Source organism: Homo sapiens, chromosome 8, assembly GCF_000001405.40.
Source record: "Homo sapiens chromosome 8, GRCh38.p14 Primary Assembly".
NCBI lineage: Eukaryota > Metazoa > Chordata > Mammalia > Primates > Hominidae > Homo > Homo sapiens.
This window is the reverse complement of record NC_000008.11, coordinates 43,094,959-43,115,154: the sequence shown is the minus strand read 5'-3', so window position 1 is coordinate 43,115,154 and position 20,196 is coordinate 43,094,959. Positions and strand designations below refer to the sequence as shown.

The 20,196-nt window shown below is 45.5% G+C and overlaps 1 protein-coding gene across 2 annotated transcripts in view; it reads right to left on the bottom strand.

The window, feature by feature from the left end:
- POMK (protein O-mannose kinase) overlaps window positions 1-20,196 on the bottom strand; it is a 29,920-nt gene that overhangs the window by 8,280 nt on the left and 1,444 nt on the right. Inside the window, exons 2-4 of one of the 2 annotated variants that reach the window (NM_032237.5) lie at window positions 17,540-17,631; window positions 12,555-12,650; window positions 11,325-11,627 (exon numbers count right to left, since the gene is read on the bottom strand). In NM_032237.5, coding sequence (NP_115613.1) covers window positions 11,325-11,606 — 282 coding nt within the window. In that variant the 5' untranslated portion in view covers window positions 11,607-11,627; window positions 12,555-12,650; window positions 17,540-17,631. The remainder of the gene's footprint in view (window positions 1-11,324; window positions 11,628-12,554; window positions 12,651-17,539; window positions 17,632-20,196) is intronic. The other variant, NM_001277971.2, reaches the window with a different exon arrangement.

Sequence of the window (20,196 nt, the reverse complement as noted above, 5' to 3'; positions counted from 1 at the left end):
AACATCTTTCCAGAAGGTAAGCATTAAATATAGCCTCAAACATTAAGACATCACAAGGGATCCTCCCAAAGGTTACACAAAATGAGAGCTACAAAATAATTTAAGAGAAAGAATCAAATCCACTCTTCTGACAGGATCCAAGCTATACTGTATGGATTTTTAATGTACTATACAACAGGCCCTTCAATAAGTCATTTCATTATAACGATGAGAAAAAAAAATTTGACTCCCAGCTCTGCTATAATCTTTCTTCTTAATATACCTGTTGCCCCAAATCTACATTCCAGACTTTGAGCAGCTCCCCTGACACAGGTGTACTGTGTCCTTGAGATGACTGGGAGAGTGCACAACTGGTTCTTTTAATGTAATCTTGGGTTTAAAAATCTCAAAGCATCGAAGGGGCAAGATGGCCGAATAGGAACAGCTCTGGTCTACAGCTCCCAGCGTGAGCGACGCAGAAGACAGGTGATTTCTGCATTTCCATCTGAGGTACCAGGTTCACCTCACTAGGGAGTGCCAGACAGTGGGTGCAGGACAGTGGGTGCAGCGCACCGTGCACGAGCCGAAGCACGGCGAGGCAGTGCCTCACTCAGGAAGCGCAAGGGGTCAGGGCATTCCCTTTCCTAGTCAAAGAAAGGGGTGACAGACGGCACCTGGAAAATCAGGGCACTCCCACCCTAATACTGCACTTTTCCCACGGGCTTAAAAAACGGCACACCAGGAGATTATATCCCGCACGTGGCTCGGAGGGTCCTACGCCCACGGAGTCTCACTGATTGCTAGCACAGCAGTCTGAGATCAAACTGCAAGGCCGCAGCGAGCCTGGGGGAGGGGTGCCCGCCATTGCTCAGGCTTGCTTAGGTAAACAAAGCAGCCGGGAAGCTCTAACTGGGTGGAGCCCACCACAGCTCAAGGAGGCCTGCCTGCCTCTGTAGGCTCCACCTCTGGGGACAGGGCACAGAGAAACGAAAAGACAGCAGTAACCTCTGCAGACTTAAATGTCCCTGTCTGACAGCTTTGAAGAGAGCAGTGGTTCTCCCAGCACGCAGCTGGAGATCTGACAACAGGCAGACTGCCTCAAGTGGGTCCCTGACCCCTGACCCCCAAGCAGCCTAACTGGGAGGCAGCCCCCAGTAGGGGCAGACTGACACCTCACGGGGCCGGGTACTCCTCTGAGACAAAACTTCCAGAGGAACGATCAGACAGCAGCATTCGCGGTTCACGAAAATCCGCTGTTCTGCAGCCACCGCTGCTGGTACCCAGGCAAACAGGGTCTGGAGTGGACCTCTAGCAAACTCCAACAGACCTGCAGCTGAGGGTCCTGTCTGTTAGAAGGAAAACTAACAAACAGAAAGGACATCCACACCAAAAACCCATCTGTACATCACCATCATCAAAGACCAAAAGTAGATAAAACCACAAAGATGGGGAAAAAACAGAGCAGAAAAACTGGAAACTCTAAAAAGCAGAGCGTCTCTCCTCCTCCAAAGGAATGCACCTCCTCACCAGCAACGGAAAAAAGCTGGACGGAGAATGACTTTGACGAGTTCAGAGAAGAAGGCTTCAGACAATCAAACTACGCCGAGCTACAGGAGGAAATTCAAACCAAAGGCAAAGAAGTTGAAAACTTTGAAAAAATTTAGATGAATGTATAACTAGAATAACCAATACAGAGAAGTGCTTAAAGGAGCTGATGGAGCTGAAAGCCAAGGCTCGAGAACTACATGAAGAGTGAAGAAGCCTCAGGAGTCGATGCAATCAACTGGAAGAAAGGGTATCAGTGATGGAAGACGAAATGAAAGAAATGAAGCAAGAAGGGAAGTTTAGAGAAAAAAGAATAAAAAGAAATGAACAAAGCCTCCAAGAAATATGAGACTATGTGAAAAGACCAAATCTACGTCTGATTGGTGTACCTGAAAGTGATGGGGAGAATGGAACCAAGTTGGAAAACACTCTGCAGGATATTATCCAGGAGAACTTCCACAATCTAGCAAGGCAGGCCAACTTTCAGATTCAGGAAATACAGAAAATGCCACAAAGATACTCCTCGAGAAGAGCAACTCCAAGACACATAATTGTGAGATTCACCAATTGTTATGTGTGTATTTGATCCTGTGATTATGATGTTAGCTGGTTATTTTCCTCGTTAGTTGATGCAGTTTCTTCCTAGCCTTGATGGTCTTTACAATTGGCATGATTTTGCAGTGGCTGGTACCGGTTGTTCCTTTCCATGTTTAGCGCTTCCTTCAGGAGCTCTTTTAGGGCAGGCCTGGTGGTGACAAAATCTCTCAGCATTTGCTTGTCTGTAAAGTATTTTATTTCTCCTTCACTGATGAAGCTTAGTTTGGCTGGATATGAAATTCTGGGTTGAAAATTCTTTTCTCTAAGAATGTTGAATATTGGCCCCCACTCTCTTCTGGCTTGTAGAGTTTCTGCTGAGAGATCCGCTATTAGTCTGATGGGCTTCCCTTTGTGGGTAACCCGACCTTTCTCTCTGGCTGCCCTTAACATTTTTTCCTTCATTTCAACTTTGGTGAATCTGACAATTATGTGTCTTGGAGTTGCTCTTCTCGAGGAGTATCTTTGTGGCGTTCTCTGTATTTCCTGAATGTGAATGTTGGCCTGCCTTGCTAGATTGGGGAAGTTCTCCTGGATAATATCCTGCAGAGTGTTTTCCAACTTGGTTCCATTCTCCCCGTCACCTTCAGGTACACCAATCAGACGTAGATTTGGTCTTTTCACATAGTCCCACATTTCTTAGAGGCTTTGTTCATTTCTTATTATTTTTTCTCTAAACTTCTCTTCACGCTTCATTTCATTCATTTCGTCTTCCATCACTGATACCCTATCTTCCAGTTGATCGCATAGGTTACTGAGGCTTGTGCATTTGTCACGTAGTTCTTGTGCCGTGGTTTTCAGCTCCTTCAGGTCCTTTAAGGACTTCTCTGCATTGGTTATTCTAGTTAGCCATTCGTCTAATTTTTTTTCGAAGTTTTTAACTTCTTTCCCATTGGTTCGAACTTCCTCCTTTAGCTCGCAGTAGTTTGATCATCTGAAGCCTTCCTCTCTCAACTCATCAAAGTCATTCTCCGTCCAGTTTTGTTCCATTGCTGGTGAGGAGCTGCGTTCCTTTGGAGGAGGAGAGGCGCTCTGATTTTTAGAGTTTCCAGTTTTTCTGCTCTGTTTTTTCCCCATCTTTGTGGTTTTATCTACTTTTGGTCTTTGATGATGGTGACGTACAGATGGGTTTTTGGTGTGGACGTCCTGTTTGTTAGTTTTCCTTCTAACAGTCAGGACCCTCAGCTGCAGGTTTGTTGGAGTTTACTGGAAGTCCACTCCAGACCCTGTTTGCCTGGGTATCAGCAGCGGGGGCTGCAGAACAGCAGATATTGGTGAACCGCAAATGCTGCTGCCCGATCGTTCCTCTGGAAGTTTTGTCTCAGAGGAGTACCTGGCCGTGTGAGGTGTCAGTCTGCCCCTACTGGGGGGTGCCTCCCAGTTAGGCTACTCGGGGGTCAGGGACCCACTTGAGGAGGTAGTCTGCCCATTCTGAGATCTCAAGCTGCATGCTGGGAGAACCACTACTCTCTTCAAAGCTGTCACACAGGGACATTTAAGTCCGCAGAGGTTATTACTGTCTTTTGTTTGTCTGTGCCCTGCCCCCAGAGGTGGAGCCTATAGGGGCAGGCAGGCCTCCTTGAGCTGTGGTGGGCTCCACCCAGTTTGAGCTTCCCAGCTGCTTTGTTTACCTACTCAAGCCTGAGCAATGGCGGGCGCCCCTCCCCCAGCCTCGCTGCGGCCTTGCAGTTTGATCTCAGACTGCTGTGCTAGCAATGAGTGAGGCTCCATGGGCGTAGGACCCTCCGAGCCAGGTGCAGGATATAATCTCCTGGTGTGCCACTTGTTGAGCTCGCTGGAAAAGTGCAGTATTAGGGTGGGAGTGACCCGATTTTCCAGGTGCCATCTGTCTCCACTTTCTTTGACTAGAAAAGGGACTCCCTGACTCCTTACGCTTCCCGGGTGGGGCAATGCCTCGCCCTGCTTCGGCTCACGCATGGTGTGCTGCACCCACTGTCCTGCACCCACTGTCCGGCACTCCCCAGTGAGATGAACCTGGTACCTCAGTTGGAAATGCAGAAATCACCCGTCTTCTGCGTCGCTCACACTGGGTGCTGTAGACTGGAGCTGTTCCTATTCGGCCATCTTGGCTTCACCCCCAAGACTTTTTTTTTTTAAGACGGAGGCTCACTCTTGTACCCCAGGCTGGAGTGCAATGGCGCGATCTCGGCTCACTGCAACCTCCGCCTCCCGGCTTCAGCTTCAAGCAATTCTCCTGCCTCAGCCTCCCGAGTAGCTTGGAATATATGCACCCAGCACAACGCCCGGCTAATATTAGTATTTCTAATAGAGATGGGGTTTTACCATGTTGGCTGGTCTCTTAACTCCTGACCTCAGGTGATCCTTCTGCCCCGGCCTCCCAAAGTGCTGGGATTATAGGCGTGAGCCACCACGCCCAGCCAAGAAATTTTATATAAGAAAAGATCTTGTATGGTAAAATCTGGTCCTAAAGTAAAATGACTGTTTAAAAAGAGGGATGTTTAGGAAAAGTCTGAAAGTCCAAGCATGTTGTAGATGGTCTCTGTAAGTTGTGAACGTATTCATGAAAAGGCAATTTATGCAAGAAATGTTGTACAATTCAAAGGTTGTTAGGCCTGTTAAATACTTCATAAAATGCCACTATGACTCTTACTGTACAACTTGCCTGCTTTATAGCTAGGTAAGGCCTGAGACATGTGGAGTTAGCCACACTCCCTAGCTACACTGGAAACAGTCAGACCTTCTGGTGTCCTAGGCTCCACTCCTGGTACGTAATTGAAATTGCTTACTCACCAGGCTTTCCACCAAAAGTAAAAGTCATTGAGTTAACAGTGTAATATGCACTTGAGACTACTGAAGAAACAGTTCTATACACGAGGCATGTAAGGGAAGTAAAATGTACTTTTGGTAAAAGATTATGAGAAGGCATGGGAATGTGGATTTCTTGCCTAAGTTTAGAGTGTTAACGGACTGTTTTAAATGAGATAGGAAAAGTCTAAAGGTTTGAACAAGTTGTGAAAGGGTTATAAAAACTTAATTGTAAGAGATTCTGTGTGTGAACATATTGGCTAAAGTTTAAGTCACGTTATGCAGTTTTTCCATAAATTGGAAATTGGAATAAAAGCACAACAGAGTTTTCTTAAAACAGTTTTGTTCTAAGAAAAAAACAAAATTGTAAAGGGTTATAAAAGATTCATAAAAATCTTACCTTATGGCAAGCCAGGTGTGGTGGCTCACGCCTGTTATACCAACACTTTGGGAGGCTGAGGCAGGTAGATCAAGGGGTCAAGAGTTCGAGACCAGCCTGGCCAACATAGTGAAACCCTGTCTCTACTAAAAATACAAAAATTAGCCAGGTGTGGTGGCACATGCCTATAGTCCCAGCTACTCGGGAGGCTGAGGCAGGAGAATCACTTGAACCCAGGAGATGGAGGCTGCAGTGAGCCGAGACCATGCCATTGCACTCCAGCCTGGGCAACAGAGAGAGACTGCGTCTTGAAAAAAATAAAAAATAAAAAAAAAATCTTACCTTATGGTCAAACTAATTAGAACTAGACAGATTTATAAGATGTAATTAAAACTGGCTTTAACGTTAAAAATACACTAATGGAAACATAAAATTCAGTTTTCTCTTTTAAAAAGGATTTTTATGGAATATTAAAAGATAATGAAAGGTTTTTATTTACCTTTTAAGTAAACTACAAAAGAAAAAAGGGGGAGGGGAGAGAGAGGAGGCAATCAGCCTCATGCTACCTTCATTGGGTCTTGTTTGGAAAGCTGAGTCTCCTACCAGAATAATGGTTTTTCCTTTTGAAAATTTTTGAGTTACTTTGGCTAAATGAATGACTTACGGAAACCTAAGACTCCATTTTGTAATATCCAATGTTTTAAACGTTTGGTATTTAACAAACCTTTCAAAATCAAGCTCTAAGTTAAAATAAAAAATTTTTAAAAATTAAGTCCCCTAAAGTACAAAAGACATATTCAGCTTATTTAATGTATTAAAATCATGCAGGAAACACTGTCAAATAGAAAATGGTGCTTAACTTTCTTTGGGTTATATTCATATAAATTTGTGATATAAAGTTACGTGCTGCAAAACTGTATAAAATTCCTACAATTCTGATATGACTCAGTATATGTCATCAGTAATAACTGTTGTGTTGAATTATTGTGTGCCACAGATTCACAAATTTCCTTGTTAATTGTGTCTTTGTGGCTTCCCTAAAATGCTTTTCTCATCCAAAGATAACTGCTGTTTTAATTTGGTCCTCTTTAGAAGATGGTTTTATAATCAGCTATAAAACTTTGATATGTGCTCTTGAATGCAAGTTTCTGATAACTCTGGAGATTATGACATAGAATAAAGGAAAAAAACTTTTAGAACTCTCATGGAAAGCTGAAATGTTCATAAATATCAAACAGAAGTTAAATGCATGGACTAAACTAATAAAAGTCTGAAGTAACCTTTTTGTTTAAAATGCTGCTGATTCTTTGCTTTTTCAGAGTCAGGGAAATTTCTTTTAAGCTATTTACAGCTTGTAGCAACTGAGTAAAGTACACTCCTGTGAATAAAATTTGGCGCATATTTGTTTCTACTTGATTTCTCCAGAATTTAAAAACTATTTGTGAGTATTCTTAATTTATGGCAATACAGTTATTTTCATAAATACAATAAGAATCTGTTTTCTTTTGTAACAGGACACTATTGAAAACACTGGTTATTTTACCAAGGGTTTGACTAGAATGGCATGCTTTCCTTTATGGAATCAACCTTGACTTGTACTTGTAAAGCCAGTAAAAGCCCTTGGGAAAACTGAGCTCATACTTTGTCTACACAGTCCCTGTACAGGGTTCCTGACCCATGGTAAGTATAGAATGTCACTTTCTGACAGGCCCAGGAGCCCCAAGTTATCTAGGGGCATCAAGAGGAGAGGAACTTACCCAACTCATAAGTATTTGAAGGTACAAACCTATGGCTGGACTCAGCTTTAGAAAGTCTTATCTGAGATTCCTTATGGAACAGAGTTCCATCAAAGGCAATTTAAAAAGCCTATGTAAAAAATAATTATTCTAGCCAGGCGCAGAGGCTCATGCCTGTAATCCTAGTACTTTGAGAGGCCAAGGCAGGCGGATTGCCTGAGCTCAGGAGTTCAAGACCAGCCTGGGCAACACAGTGAAACCCCGTCTTTACTAAAATACAAAAGAAATCAGCCAGGCATGGCGACGTGCACCTATAGTCCCAGCTACTCGAGAGGCTGAGGCAGAAGAATTGCTTGAACCCGGGAGGCGGAGGTTGCAGTAAGCCACAATCACACCACTGCAATCCAGCCTGGGTGACGGAGCAAGACTCCATCTCTACCAAAAAAAAAAAAAGTATTCTTGCCAGGTGATTACTGATTCATGCCTGTAATCCCAGCACTTTGGGAGACCAAGGCAGGCAGATCACGAGGTCAGGAGTTCGAGACCAGCCTGACCAACGTGGTGAAACCCTGTCTCTACTAAAAATACAAAAATTAGCCAGGTGTGGTGGCACTCACCTGTAATCCCAGCTACTCAGGAGGCTGAGGCAGGAAAACTGCTTGAACCCGGGAGGCGGAGGTTGCAGTGAGCTGAGATCACGCCACTGCACTCCAGCCTGGGCGACAGAGCAAGGCTCCATCTCGGAAAAAAAAAGTATTACTGATGCGCTTTATGCAAATAATCAGGCCAAGCATAATAAAATTAAAGTTTATTTTGCCAACAAATCAGTCCTATCGTGATTTGTTTTAATAAAAATAAGGACTAAAGAGAGAAAAATTATGTTCCAAAAACTATGGTACACATGTTGTTAGTTTTTTTTTTCTTCAATTTAGACTAAATCCTAATATTTTTGTGGACTATAAGTCCCCAGACTAATGCTTTCAAACCTTTACTTTTAAAACTGGAAATTGCACTCCTTATCCTAAAACTCATTATTTACCTTATAGTAGACTGTCTGTTTAAATGCTGTACTAAAACTATAAAGATACTACTGCCTTTGTCACGAAAGCCTTGGAACCACAGCCCGGCCTGCATGAATATACTCAGACAGCTGCAAAGCAGTTCTACTCCTCTCACCTTAGGGTCAACTCCGACCCCAACTATGCCCCCTGTCAGCATGAAGAAGCTAGAGTGATCAATGGCCTTTTTCCATCTTCATAGCCCACACCTTAAGAATAAGATGCTACAAAACCCCAAAGGGAGGGATTGAAACCGCCTTTGCAAAATTATAACTGAGGGCTGGGCCCAGTGGCTCATGCCTGTAATCCCAGCATTTTGGGAGGTCGAGGAGGGCGGATCACCTGAGGTCAAGAGTTCAAGACCAGCCTGGCCAACATGGAGAAACCCCATTTTTACTAAAAATACAGGCATGGTGGTGGGCGCCTGTAATCCCAGCTACTCAGGAGGCTGAGGCACGAGAATCTCTTGAACCTGGGAGGTGGAGGTTGCGGTGAGCCAAGATCATGTCACAGCACTCCAGCCTGGGCGATAGAGCAAGACTCAGTCAAAAAAAAAAAAAAAAAAAAGCAAAAGTAAACCAATGGGATTATAACAAACCAAAAACCTTCTTCCCAGCAAAGGAAACAAATAGAGTTAAGAGACAAACTACATAATGGGAGAAAATATTTGCAAGCTATTCATCTAACAAGGGATCAATATCCAAGGAACTCAAACATCTCAACAGAAAAAAATAACAATATGATCAAAAAATGGGCAAATGATCTAAACTGACATTCTCGAAAGAAGACATACAAATGGCCAATAAATTTGTGAAAAAATGCTCAATGTTACTAATCATCAGGAAAATGCAAACCAAAATCACAATGAGATACCATCTCACCCCAGTTAGGATGGCCATTATCAAAAAGACAAAAAATAACAAATGCTGGTGAAGATGCAGAGAAATGGGAACGCTTATACTCTGTTAGTGAGAATGTAAATTAGTACAGCCATTATGGAAAACAGTATGGAGGTTCCGCAGAAAATTACAAACAGAACTAACATATGATCCAGCAATTCCACTACTGGGTATATATCCAAAGGAAAGGAAATCAATATATCAAAGAGATATGCACAGCCAGGCTAAGTGGCTCACGCCTGTAATCCCAGCACTTTGGGAGGCCAAGGTGGGTGGATCACAAGGTCAGGAGTTCAAGACCAGCCTGGCCAACATGGAGAAACCCCATCTCTACTAAAAATATAAAATTAGCCGGGCATGGTGGCACATGCCTGTAACTCCAGCTACTCAGGAGGCTGAGGCAGGAGAATTGCTTGAACCCAGAAGTGGAGGTGGTAGTGAGTCGAGACTGCATCATTGCACTCCAGCCTGGGCAACAAGAGGGAAACTCCGTCTCAAAAAACAACAACAAAAAAAGAGATATGTGCATCCCGATGTTTATTGCAGCACTATTCACAATAGCCAAGATATGGAATCAACCTAAGTGTCCTTCAGCAGATGAATGGATAAAGAAAATGTGGTATATATACACAAAATAGAATACTATTCAGCTATAAAAAAGAAGGAAATCTGTCATTTATGGCAACATGAAAGGAACTGGAGGACATTATGTTACGTGAAATAAACTAGGAACAGAAAGTTAAACACTACAAGTTCTCATTCATATGCAGAAGTTTAAAAAAGCTTACTCAAAGAAGTAAAAAGCCTAACAGTTTTCTAGAGGCTGGGAAGGGTAGAGCAAAGGCGAGGATAGGCAGAGATTTGTTAAAGGATACAAAATTACAGCTAGATAAGAGAAGCAAGTTCCAGTGTTTCATAGCACCATAGGATGACTATAATTAACAATATATTATACACTCTCAAATAGCCAGAAGAGAAGATATTGAATGTTCCCAACCAAAAGAAGTGATACATGTTTGAGATGGCAGATATGCCCTGATCCGCTAACTACACACTGTAAGTAGGTATGGAAACATCACTGTGTACCCCATAAATATGGATAATTATTACATGCCAATTAAAAATAAATTGTTAAAAATCAGTATAATACCATCACAGAGTTTGAAAAACAGGAAAAGAAATTGCCCATAATCCCCCTTTCACCCTAGCACAATTTCTATCATTTTCATATTTTTTTTTTCCTTTGGAGACAGCATCTTGCTCTGTCACCCAGTCTGGAATGCAGTGGCAAGATCATGGCTTACTGTAGCCTCAAACTCCCCAGGCTCAAGAGATTCTCCCACCTGAGCTTCCCAAGTAGTGCGCACCATTATGCCAGGCTAATTTTTGTATTTTTGTAGAAACTGGGTTTTGCCATGTTGCCCAGGTTGGTCTGGAACTCCTGTGCTTAAGTAATCCGCCCACCTCCGCCTCCCAAAGTGCTGGGATTACATGTATAAGACACTGCGCCTGACCATTTTTGTATTTATCTACATATACACGTAATTTCACAGTTGAAAAGTCAATTATACAATTTTATATCTTGTTTTCTTCACTTATCATCATAAGGTTTTATTCATGTTGCCTCTTGGGGTTCCTAACTACACAACAGTTGCAGAATATTCCGTCAAGTGGATGGACCATCATTTAATGAACTATTCTAAAAGTTTTGTTTCTAGTTTTCTATCACTATGGCACTCTTTTATGCATTTGACTTTTTTCCTGCCTTGGATTACTTATTAAGATAAAGTCCGATTGGGAGGCCGAGGCAGGTAGATCACTTAAGGTCAGGAGTTCAAGACCAGCCTGGCCAACATGGTGAAACCCCATCTCTACTAAAATTAAAAAATTAGCCAGGCGTGGTGGCATATGCCCATAGTCCCAGCTACTCGGGAGGCTGAGTCACGAGAATCACTTGAACCCAGGAGGTGGAGATTGCAGTGCACCGAGATGGCGCCATTGCACTCCAGCCTGGGTGACAGAGCGAGACTCTCAAAAAAAAAAAGATAAAGTGCCAGATGTAAGATTATTGAGCTCAACAATAAAAACGTAGAGCTAGCAGGGCTCCTAACACTGGATGCCACACTGCTTCCCTAAGGGCTGAAACCTATGCCTACTGCAGCACTATTCACAATTGCCAAGATACAGAATCAACCAAAGCAAATGTGGTGCACATATGCAATGGAGTACACTTTGGCAGTAACAAAGGATGAAATTCCGTAATCCGTGCCAGCATGGATGGAGCTGGAGGACACTGTGTTAAGCGAAATAACAGGATGACAGCAATCGCAAATGAACCCGGACTCACTCTCTTTACAGCTCCTTCCCCAACACGCTTCAGCTGTCTCACTTCTGTTCTCAGCTCCTCGCAGGACAGCCAAGGTGAGCAGTTTTTCATCTGTCCTATCCTGAAGTGACCATAGGGACAGTGTGTGGGGTCCACAGTGGATTGTCGAGGAGCGATGAAGAAGTGGTCGAGGCAGAGGTAGAGCAGAGTATTCATCAGGGCCATGATCAGCAGCAGCCCAACAGCTGGCGGCACCTCTCGGGGGGCGAGGCCTCTCCTGCTGTTCTGGGGCTGCTTTTCCATGTTGACGGCCTCTGCAATTTCCTAAAATACACAATGAAACAAGAAGTCATGACAGTCAGCTTTCACTTCCTTTCATTTCCAAAAATGTGTTCTGATGCCTCTTCTACTCAAGGGTCCTGTAAGCTGCAGCGTTACCGTGGGGATTAAAGCAGGTATCGAACACCAGGCTTATCCCAAATGCCCAATGTTAGCTGTTTCCATAATCATTACTTTTTATTACAAACTAAAATGCGGGTTCCTCTAGATTAGGTTAGGTGGGAGGTGTTTGTGTCTGACTCTGTCCGACTCACAGTAGCATGCATTAAATAGATGCTCATGAATATTCAGTAAAATGAAAGCAAAATGTATTAGTCAACTGGTGGGACAGGGACAGAGGGTGGACAAAGGACAGCAGAAGGAGGCTGCTTAGGGTAGCAGGTGGAGGCTGGGAAGCTGAGGGCCTCTGTCGAACTCAGCTAAGCAGCTGTCCTGTTCCCTGGGAGGTACTCAGAATCCCCTCAACAGTTTTAAGAAATAAAAGCTACTCTTCAGCAGTTATGAAAGGTAGATTTGGGGTGAAAGAGACTGAGGCTGGGAGACCAGTTATTAAGAAGCCCTGGTTATGACCACGGACAGGAGCTGACAAGTACATGAGCTAGAATAACAGCGATGAGATTGGAGAGATGACCACTCAGATGTCACACCAGCGATAAGTAACCACTGATAATGTGTGGGCTCTACCGCTGGAGCCGTGCAAGGCCATGGTGGAGGGGCCTGGCTGCGGAGAAGCCTGAAGTAGGACCGTGGATGGCAGAGGTGATTTACAGAAGCAGAATGGAGCAGAATGGAAGTATATGGAGACTTTAACAGTGGATGTGGCCATGCCAGTGGGAGCCAGCTAAACAGCACTGGAATGCTGGGGCACTGGGACAGAACTGGGTCAGAGACAGCTGTGACATGCAGGGTTACCTCCCAAGCGCATCTCCTTCTCCAGCTCAGGTCTCCATCCAGGTACCTGGTCAGTCCATACTCTAGTTGGCGCCCAGGGACTGGTCGGGAAACACCCTGCCACAAAGTACCAAACAGGAAGTGTGTAAACAGAAACTGCAGCTATGTACCCAGACAAATCGCCATAGTCCAAACGGTCCAACTTTCCCAGGGCCCTCCTCCTGCCTCAAGTCCAGGTTTCCTCAGGTTCTCAAGCCCCAGGACAGAGCAGGGCCGTGGGGAAGCCCATCAGAGTCTCTCTGTCCCAGTCTGCTCTCTTCTTCTCCATCACTGACTTCCAGCTGCTCATTCCCGCAACATGTCCTGAGCAGCTTCTATGTGCCCAGCCCTGCAGTGGGTGCTGGAGACATTCACACACAGTGAATTACACCAGCATGGTTCCTATCCTGCTGGAGCTTAGGGGAAAAGTCTAGTGGGGAAGACAGACAATAAACAAGTAAACAAATAGGTCTATCATCATCCTGTGATGGGGGTTCAAAGATAGAGAGTAACTGTGTAGGAACTCCCTGGAGGAAGCATCCCAGGAGACCTCTCTAAGGAGGTGACCTTCACACTGTGACTAGAGGCCTGAGAGGAGCCAGCCATGAAAAATCCAGGACAGGAAGCTTGTTCCTACCTCCTCCTTGAGAAAACAAAATCCACTCCCATATACAGAGCTGGGACAAGACGTCAATGAAACCACAAAGTTAACAGGAAACGGCATTTCTCCTTAGAACACACTGCAGCCATAAAGTGTCAAAAACCCCCTTTGGATGAAGACTCCTTTTTTACTACCTAGAAATTCTGTTCTCTACAATCACAGACTACCAGAAATTTTGCAGTTTGAAGTCTTATCAGTTGGGATAAAACATCCCATGCTTTCCTGGAGGATCAAAGTCACTCTGACACACAGAAGCAACCTCAGTTCCCAAACAGGGCAGACCTTCAGATAAGGAGTTTCTGGAGATAATCCTGCACATCTATGTTAACCTGGTAGTCTCCAAGGAAAGAGGACCACTTTGCAGTCCAGACTAGATCTTGGCCCCTTTACACTCAGTTCTACATGGCTTTGAGCCCATCAAAACACTACTTCATTTAAATTTGCCTAAACTTTACTCATCTCCAAAATTCTATGATTTTCTTCCTTTTTTTTTTTTTTTTTTTTGACATAGGGTCTGACTCTGTCACTCGGGCTGGAGTGCAGTGGTGCAATCATAGCTCAATGCAGCCTCAAACTCAAGCAATCCTGTCACCTCTGCCTCCTTAGTAGCTGGGACTACAGGTGCGCATCACCACATCCAGCTAATTTTTGTATTTTTTTTTGTAGAGACTGGGTCTCACGATGTTGCTCAGGCTGGCCTTGAACTCCTGGCCTCAAGCAATCCTCCTGCGTCAGCCTCCCAAATTGCTGGGATTACAGGCATGAGCCACTGCACCTGGCCTTTTAAATTTATTTTTATCCCCTCCACGGCTCTACTCATCCCCTGCATCAGTATTCCCTGGAACCTCAACACATTCCAGTACCCCACAGATGCAAGCACACAAGCTCATACTGTTCTGGCGCTCTTGAGCGTACTCCAGACCTCACACTGCTGACTCTCCCAGCAATGGCACACACTTCAGTGCCTCTATGGCTCTAAACCCACAGTAGCAGCCTCTAGAACGCCTTAAACCATCCGGCTGCCCCTTCCTAGAGTGTCCTCGTGCTCAGGGACACACGTGCACCTCACACCAACTTGACCCTTAGCGCACCGGGCCTCTGACGGTACCAAGACCCTTCCCGCACCACCACCACCCCCTACCTCACAGAGATCCACAATCCTCATCCCCGCTAGCACAGGCTCAGGTCTCCCACCGTCCTCCCTCCATCAGATCCCTCCATGAGGTCCCTCCAGCTCTGTTCCATTAGCATGCACTGGGCTCCAACTACCCAGACCTTTATTAGCGCATGCACACACCCACCACGGCACAACCCCCACAAGCGCACACCCAGCACTTGAGTCCTTCAACCACCTCCCCTCCATAAGCACCCCATTCTCTCCTACCCTGCAGGCCCCCACAGACACACACACAGCACTAACACCATACACACCCCCATCACCACACACGAGGCCTCAGAGGCCTATTAGCACACACCCTGGTGCCTCTACCACACTATCCCCCATTAGCACACACACTGGGCCTCTCTCCAGCCATAACCCCTATTAGCTTGCTTTGGAACTTCCTCAACACCCTACCCCTGTGATACACCCACGGGTCCCTCACCCGCTCTGCTGCCCACTTCCCTAAGCACACACTGGGCCTTGAGCCTCACCTGCCATAAGGCTCATCACCACATGCTCTGAGCCCTGCTCAGCCCAGGCCCCCATTGGCAAAGCTCCAGTCTCTCCCGGCTCCACCACCCATTCCCATATCCTCTGTTCCTCTGACCCCCTGCTCCCTATTTGCACTCATGGCACTTCCATCCCCAGCTCCCTGCCCCGGGCCAGGTCAGAGAGGCCCCGAAGGACTCCTGCCCTGTGCCCTCTCAGATGACTCTCTGTCCCTCTGATGAAGATATGCAAGTCCCGCCAGTATGCAGCCTCGCTTATTGCAGTGAGTCAATAAAAGTGATAGGTGTGTCCCGAGTGGCCTTAGGCTAGCTGGAAGCTCACACTCTCCTTCTCCAAACATGTACCACCTGTTCCCCCACCTTCACTCTCAGCTGATCATCTAACGAGATCATCCTATTTTACTAGAAAAACAGAAGCAATCAGAGAGCATTTCCACCAGTTCCCAAGCCCCACCCCAGGTTCCTGCACTCTCCTATTACTACAAACAGTGTGTTACCATGAAACTGGCCCCGAGCCCAGCTCAGGCAAACCCCACGCCCAGCTCTGTCCTCTCATTCTCTCCAACTCACTGCCACTGCACCCAAACTGACCTTATCACAGTCAGCACAGGTGGCCTCCACATCACTAAACACAACAGTCAAAGCACAGCCCCAGTCTTCCTTGATCTATCAATAGCATCTACCGTGATTGATAACTCCCTCCTTAAACGCCTTATATAATTGGTTTCCAGGAAACTACATTCTGGCAGCTCCTCATCTCTGAGTCCACGTAGTGGGGTCCCCCAGAGTTCAGAGCTCAGGCCTCTGCCACACTCCCTGGGAGAGCTCACCCAGACTCAGGACTTTTCATCGCTGCCTGCTGACAACTTCCAAAGGTAAAACTCCATTCCCAGCCTCTCCTCAGAACCCAAGGCTTGCTTCCTTGACATCTCCATGTGGATGTCTGGTGAACAACTCAAAAGATTCAAAAAAAACAACTCAATTTAAAAATGTGCAAAGGGTCAGGCATTGGTGGCTCACACTTGTAATCCCGGCACTTTGGGAGGCCAAGGTGGGAGGATCGCTTGAGCCTAGGAGTTCCAGACCAGCCAGGGTAACATAGTAAGACCTCCTGTCTACAAAAACTAAATTTAAAAATTAGCCAGGCATGTTGGCCTGTGCCTATAGGCCCAGCTACTCAGGAGGCTGAGGTGGGAGGATCATTTGAGTCCAGGAGACCAAGGCTGCAGTGAGCTGTGATCGTGCCACAACACTCCAGCCTGAGTGACAGTGAGACCCTGTCTCAAAAAAATAAACAAATAAAATTTTTAAAATGGGCAAAGGACTTGAACAGACATTTCTCCAAAGTAGATACACAGATGGCCAACAGGCACATACATGAAAGATGCTCAGCTTCACCAGTCATCAAGGCAAACGCAGATCAGAAGTGTGACAAGATGGCATTTTACACCCATGAGGATGGCTATAATACAAAAATCAGTAACAACATAGGGGAATGTGGAAAAACTGAAATCCTCAAACATCACTGGTGAGAAAGTAAAATGCAGCCACTGTGGAAAGCAGTCTGGCCGCTCCTCAAAAGGTTAAGCACAGTCACCACACGACCCAGCAACTCCACTGCCCAGTATGTACCTATGAAAACACACACACTCACACACACACTCATACATGAATGTTCACGGAAGCATTATCCACAACTGCCAAACAGTGGAAACAAGCCAAGTGTCCATTGGCAGATGAATGGATAGACAAAATGTGGTACATCCATAAATGGAATATTATTCAGCCATAAAAAATAAAGCACTAATTCATGCTGCAACATGGGTGAACCCTGGAAACATCATGCTCAGTGAAATAAGCCTGACAAAAAGGCCACATGCTGTAAGATTCCATTTACATGAAATGTCCAGAAACAGCAAATTCAGACACAGAACATAGATTTGTGGCTCCCAGAGGCTGGGGAGGCAGGGGGTGGAATAGCTGCTGACAGGGATGGGGTCTCTTTTTGGCTAAAATGTTCCTGAATTAGACAGTGATGATGATTGTACAACCTTGTAAATATGCTAAATATCACTGAATTGTACACTTTAAAATGTCAAATGTTATGGTTTGTGAATTATATCTTCCTTGAAGTCTCCCCCTAACATTTAAAAAGATAAAAGCATTCCCAGCTCTCAGGCTACGCAAAAACAAGCAGAAGCTGTGGTTGGCCAAGCCCTGCCTTAGGTGATGGCATTCCTCCAGGTCTGCCAAAGACCCAGGTAACCTCACCCACACCTGGGACACTAGCAGCCATCTGAACTCTGCTGCTTTCTAAGTCTGCACTGCAGCCCAGGTCTCTCCTATGCTTTGCTCACTGGCCTATCAAGGTATGGGATGTCCACTGCAGAACTCCCCAGTCCCCACAGGCCCCTCCTCCAGGGTTCCCTCTGTCATGGGCTCATGACCCAACCACCCACTCAAGTTACAGACCAGGTGTGTGTGACTTGATTCCTCCCTCCCCTAAACTCTAAACCAACCGATTACCACATGCAGTCAATGCTCCCACCAAAACCTCCCTCACAACTGCTTGCATATCTCCTTCCTTGCTGCCCTTCCCCTCCACCCCGCTGCGTGAGCCAGCAGCACCTCTCACCTGGGTTTCCACAATAGATTCCCAAGCAGACGCCCAGTTTTTCCTCTCTTGCAGTCCATTCTCAGGATTACACAGCAAACAGGATCCTTTTTCTTTAAGTGTTTCACACACAGAGAAAAAAAAAATCATAAGCATTCATCCAGCTTTGTCAAGTCACACTGCATCATTTTTTCAGATCTTTTTTTAAAGAAATTAAATATTACAAATAGAGTTGAAGACCCTCTGGACTCCTCCCCATCCAATTCTACTCCCCCTCAAGAAGTGATCACTATCTTCAAGTTGGTGGACATCAGAGATTCTCAAACTGTGCTCCCCAGACCTGTGGCGTCATAGCCCAGGAACCTGGGAGAAATGCAAATTCTTGGGTCCACACTCCAAACCTACTGAATCAGAAATGAACATCTGTGTTTTAATAAATCCTCTAGGTGATTTGGATGCATGCTAAAGTCTGAAAACCACTGGTGTATATAATTCCTATACATGCTGTCTATCTATCTAATCGATCTTATCTATTTACCTACCTACTTATCTATCTACTTAAGACATGGAGTCTCACTATGTTGCCCAGGCTAGACTCAAGTGATCCTCCTGCCTCCACCTCCCAAGCAGCTGGGACTGACTACAGGGATGGGTTACCAAACTCCGCTTCTCATACATGCTTATTTTCACAAGTATGTGCCCATAAATCATACATATGTTTTCAAGCTTTATACAAACAGTGATGGGCTGGTATTATCCTCCTGCAACCAGTTTTTTTTAAAAGCTCAACATTACATTTCTGAGATTTATCCATGCAGATGCACAAAACTCAGTTCACTATTTTCAACTGGTTTGACTTTTCCACAATTAGTGAGACAAGCTGTGTATACATCTCCCCAGGCATACATGGAAGTTTCTCTGATACATGCAGGGAGAGCTTTCTTTTTTTTCTTTTTTCTTTTTTTGAGAAGGAGTCTCACTCTGTCACCAGGCTGGAGTGCTATAGCACAATCTCAGCTCACTGCAACCTCTGACTCCCTTGTTAAAGGGATTCTCCTGCCTCAGCCTCCTGAGTAGCTGGGATTACAGAGCTGGGATTACAGGCACGTGCCACCATGCCCAGCTAATTTTAGTATTTTAATAGAGACGGAGTTTCACTATGTTGGCCAGATGGTCTCAATCTCCTGACCTCGTGATCCGCCCACCTTGGCTTCCCAAAGTGCTGGGATTACAGGCATGAGCCACCATGTCCGGCCCATGCAGGGAGAGCTTTCTAAAGCACGGATCTGATCCCACCTTGCTTAACATTCAACAGCCCCCCACTCGGCCCACAGGATCAAGTCCAAACTCTTATGTGGCCTCCTGAAATCTAGCCCCTATCTGCTTCCCTAAACCCTCCCTGCACCACACTCTCTGGCCCCTGAGCTTTCCTCAAAGGCTCCCTTTCTGGGATACCCAGGCCCCGGCTTCCTCTAGATTCTGAGCACCAAGAAGCCTGCCTGCCTGTCCTGTTCACCACTGCACCCCAGTGCCTGGCACACAGCGGGTACTCGGCAAAGACGCACCAACTGCCTGGTCACTCTGCACCTCTCCCTCTTCATGGCCTCAGCCGCACAGGCTGCTTTCCCTCTCCTGTGTTCGCTCCACGGAATCCGCTCTTCCTCTCCTCACGGCTCCTGTCTTCTGAGGACCCTCATCTGCCACCTCCTTCTCCAATCCAAGTTTCCCAGCTCAAACCCTGCGATAAATCCTTTCAACCCTCCAACCCTCCTTACCCCTAACCTCCCACCAATCCTTCCTTGCCACTAGTGGATTCAGGTTTTATGGGGCCTGAAGCTTATACAAGTTGGGGCAAGGAGTGGTAATTCCTTAAGAGAAGAATAGTTATGAATGTAAAAGTGCTGAGCCTCTTGCCAGAGTTTTGGCAAGAGGATTTGTGCAAGGTTTTGGAAGGTATTTGTGCAAGTGAAGAGGCTAGAGGCTTCATCATAAACCCAGATCTGCTTGTCATTCACCAGACCCATGTAACTTGCCCTGTCCACTTCTTCATTTCCACTCAAAGGCTGCCAACATCAGCTACAAAACTCTGTGGGACTCTAGAAATGCATATTTTCTAATCTCTCTTGGACCCTCAGCATTACTCAGAAAACCTTTAATGCATTTCTTGCTGAATCCAAATTTCATATGCCCCAAAAACCTTTTATATATCCCTAAGTCCTCACATTCACTTCTGAATCCTCTCTCGGCAAAAACAAACCAAACCAAACCAAAACAAAACAAATAAAAAAAATACCCCAAAATTCATTTGACTTTTATACACTGTCAACTTCACACCAATTCTGTGAAGTGGATGTAATTGTTGTTATTCCCATTTCACAGATAAGACAACTGAGTCAGAGGTGAAGTAATATATCTAAGGTCACTGAACTATACACAGAAGAGCCAAGTTTTCTGGCCTCAAGCCCATTCTTCCCCTAAATACCGCAATGCTCGGGAGTTGAACTAAATCAAACCCAGCGTGGTCAGCTAGGGGCTGGGCTGGGGTACCCTGGGACTGCCGGTTTCTTAAAGAAGACTTCAGCCCACCTCAACCCCGATTTGCTTTTTTGTTTCACAGGCATATTCTGGAGTAGGCCGCCCAGAGCATAGCATGAGGCTGTGTGGCTAAAGGAACTTTC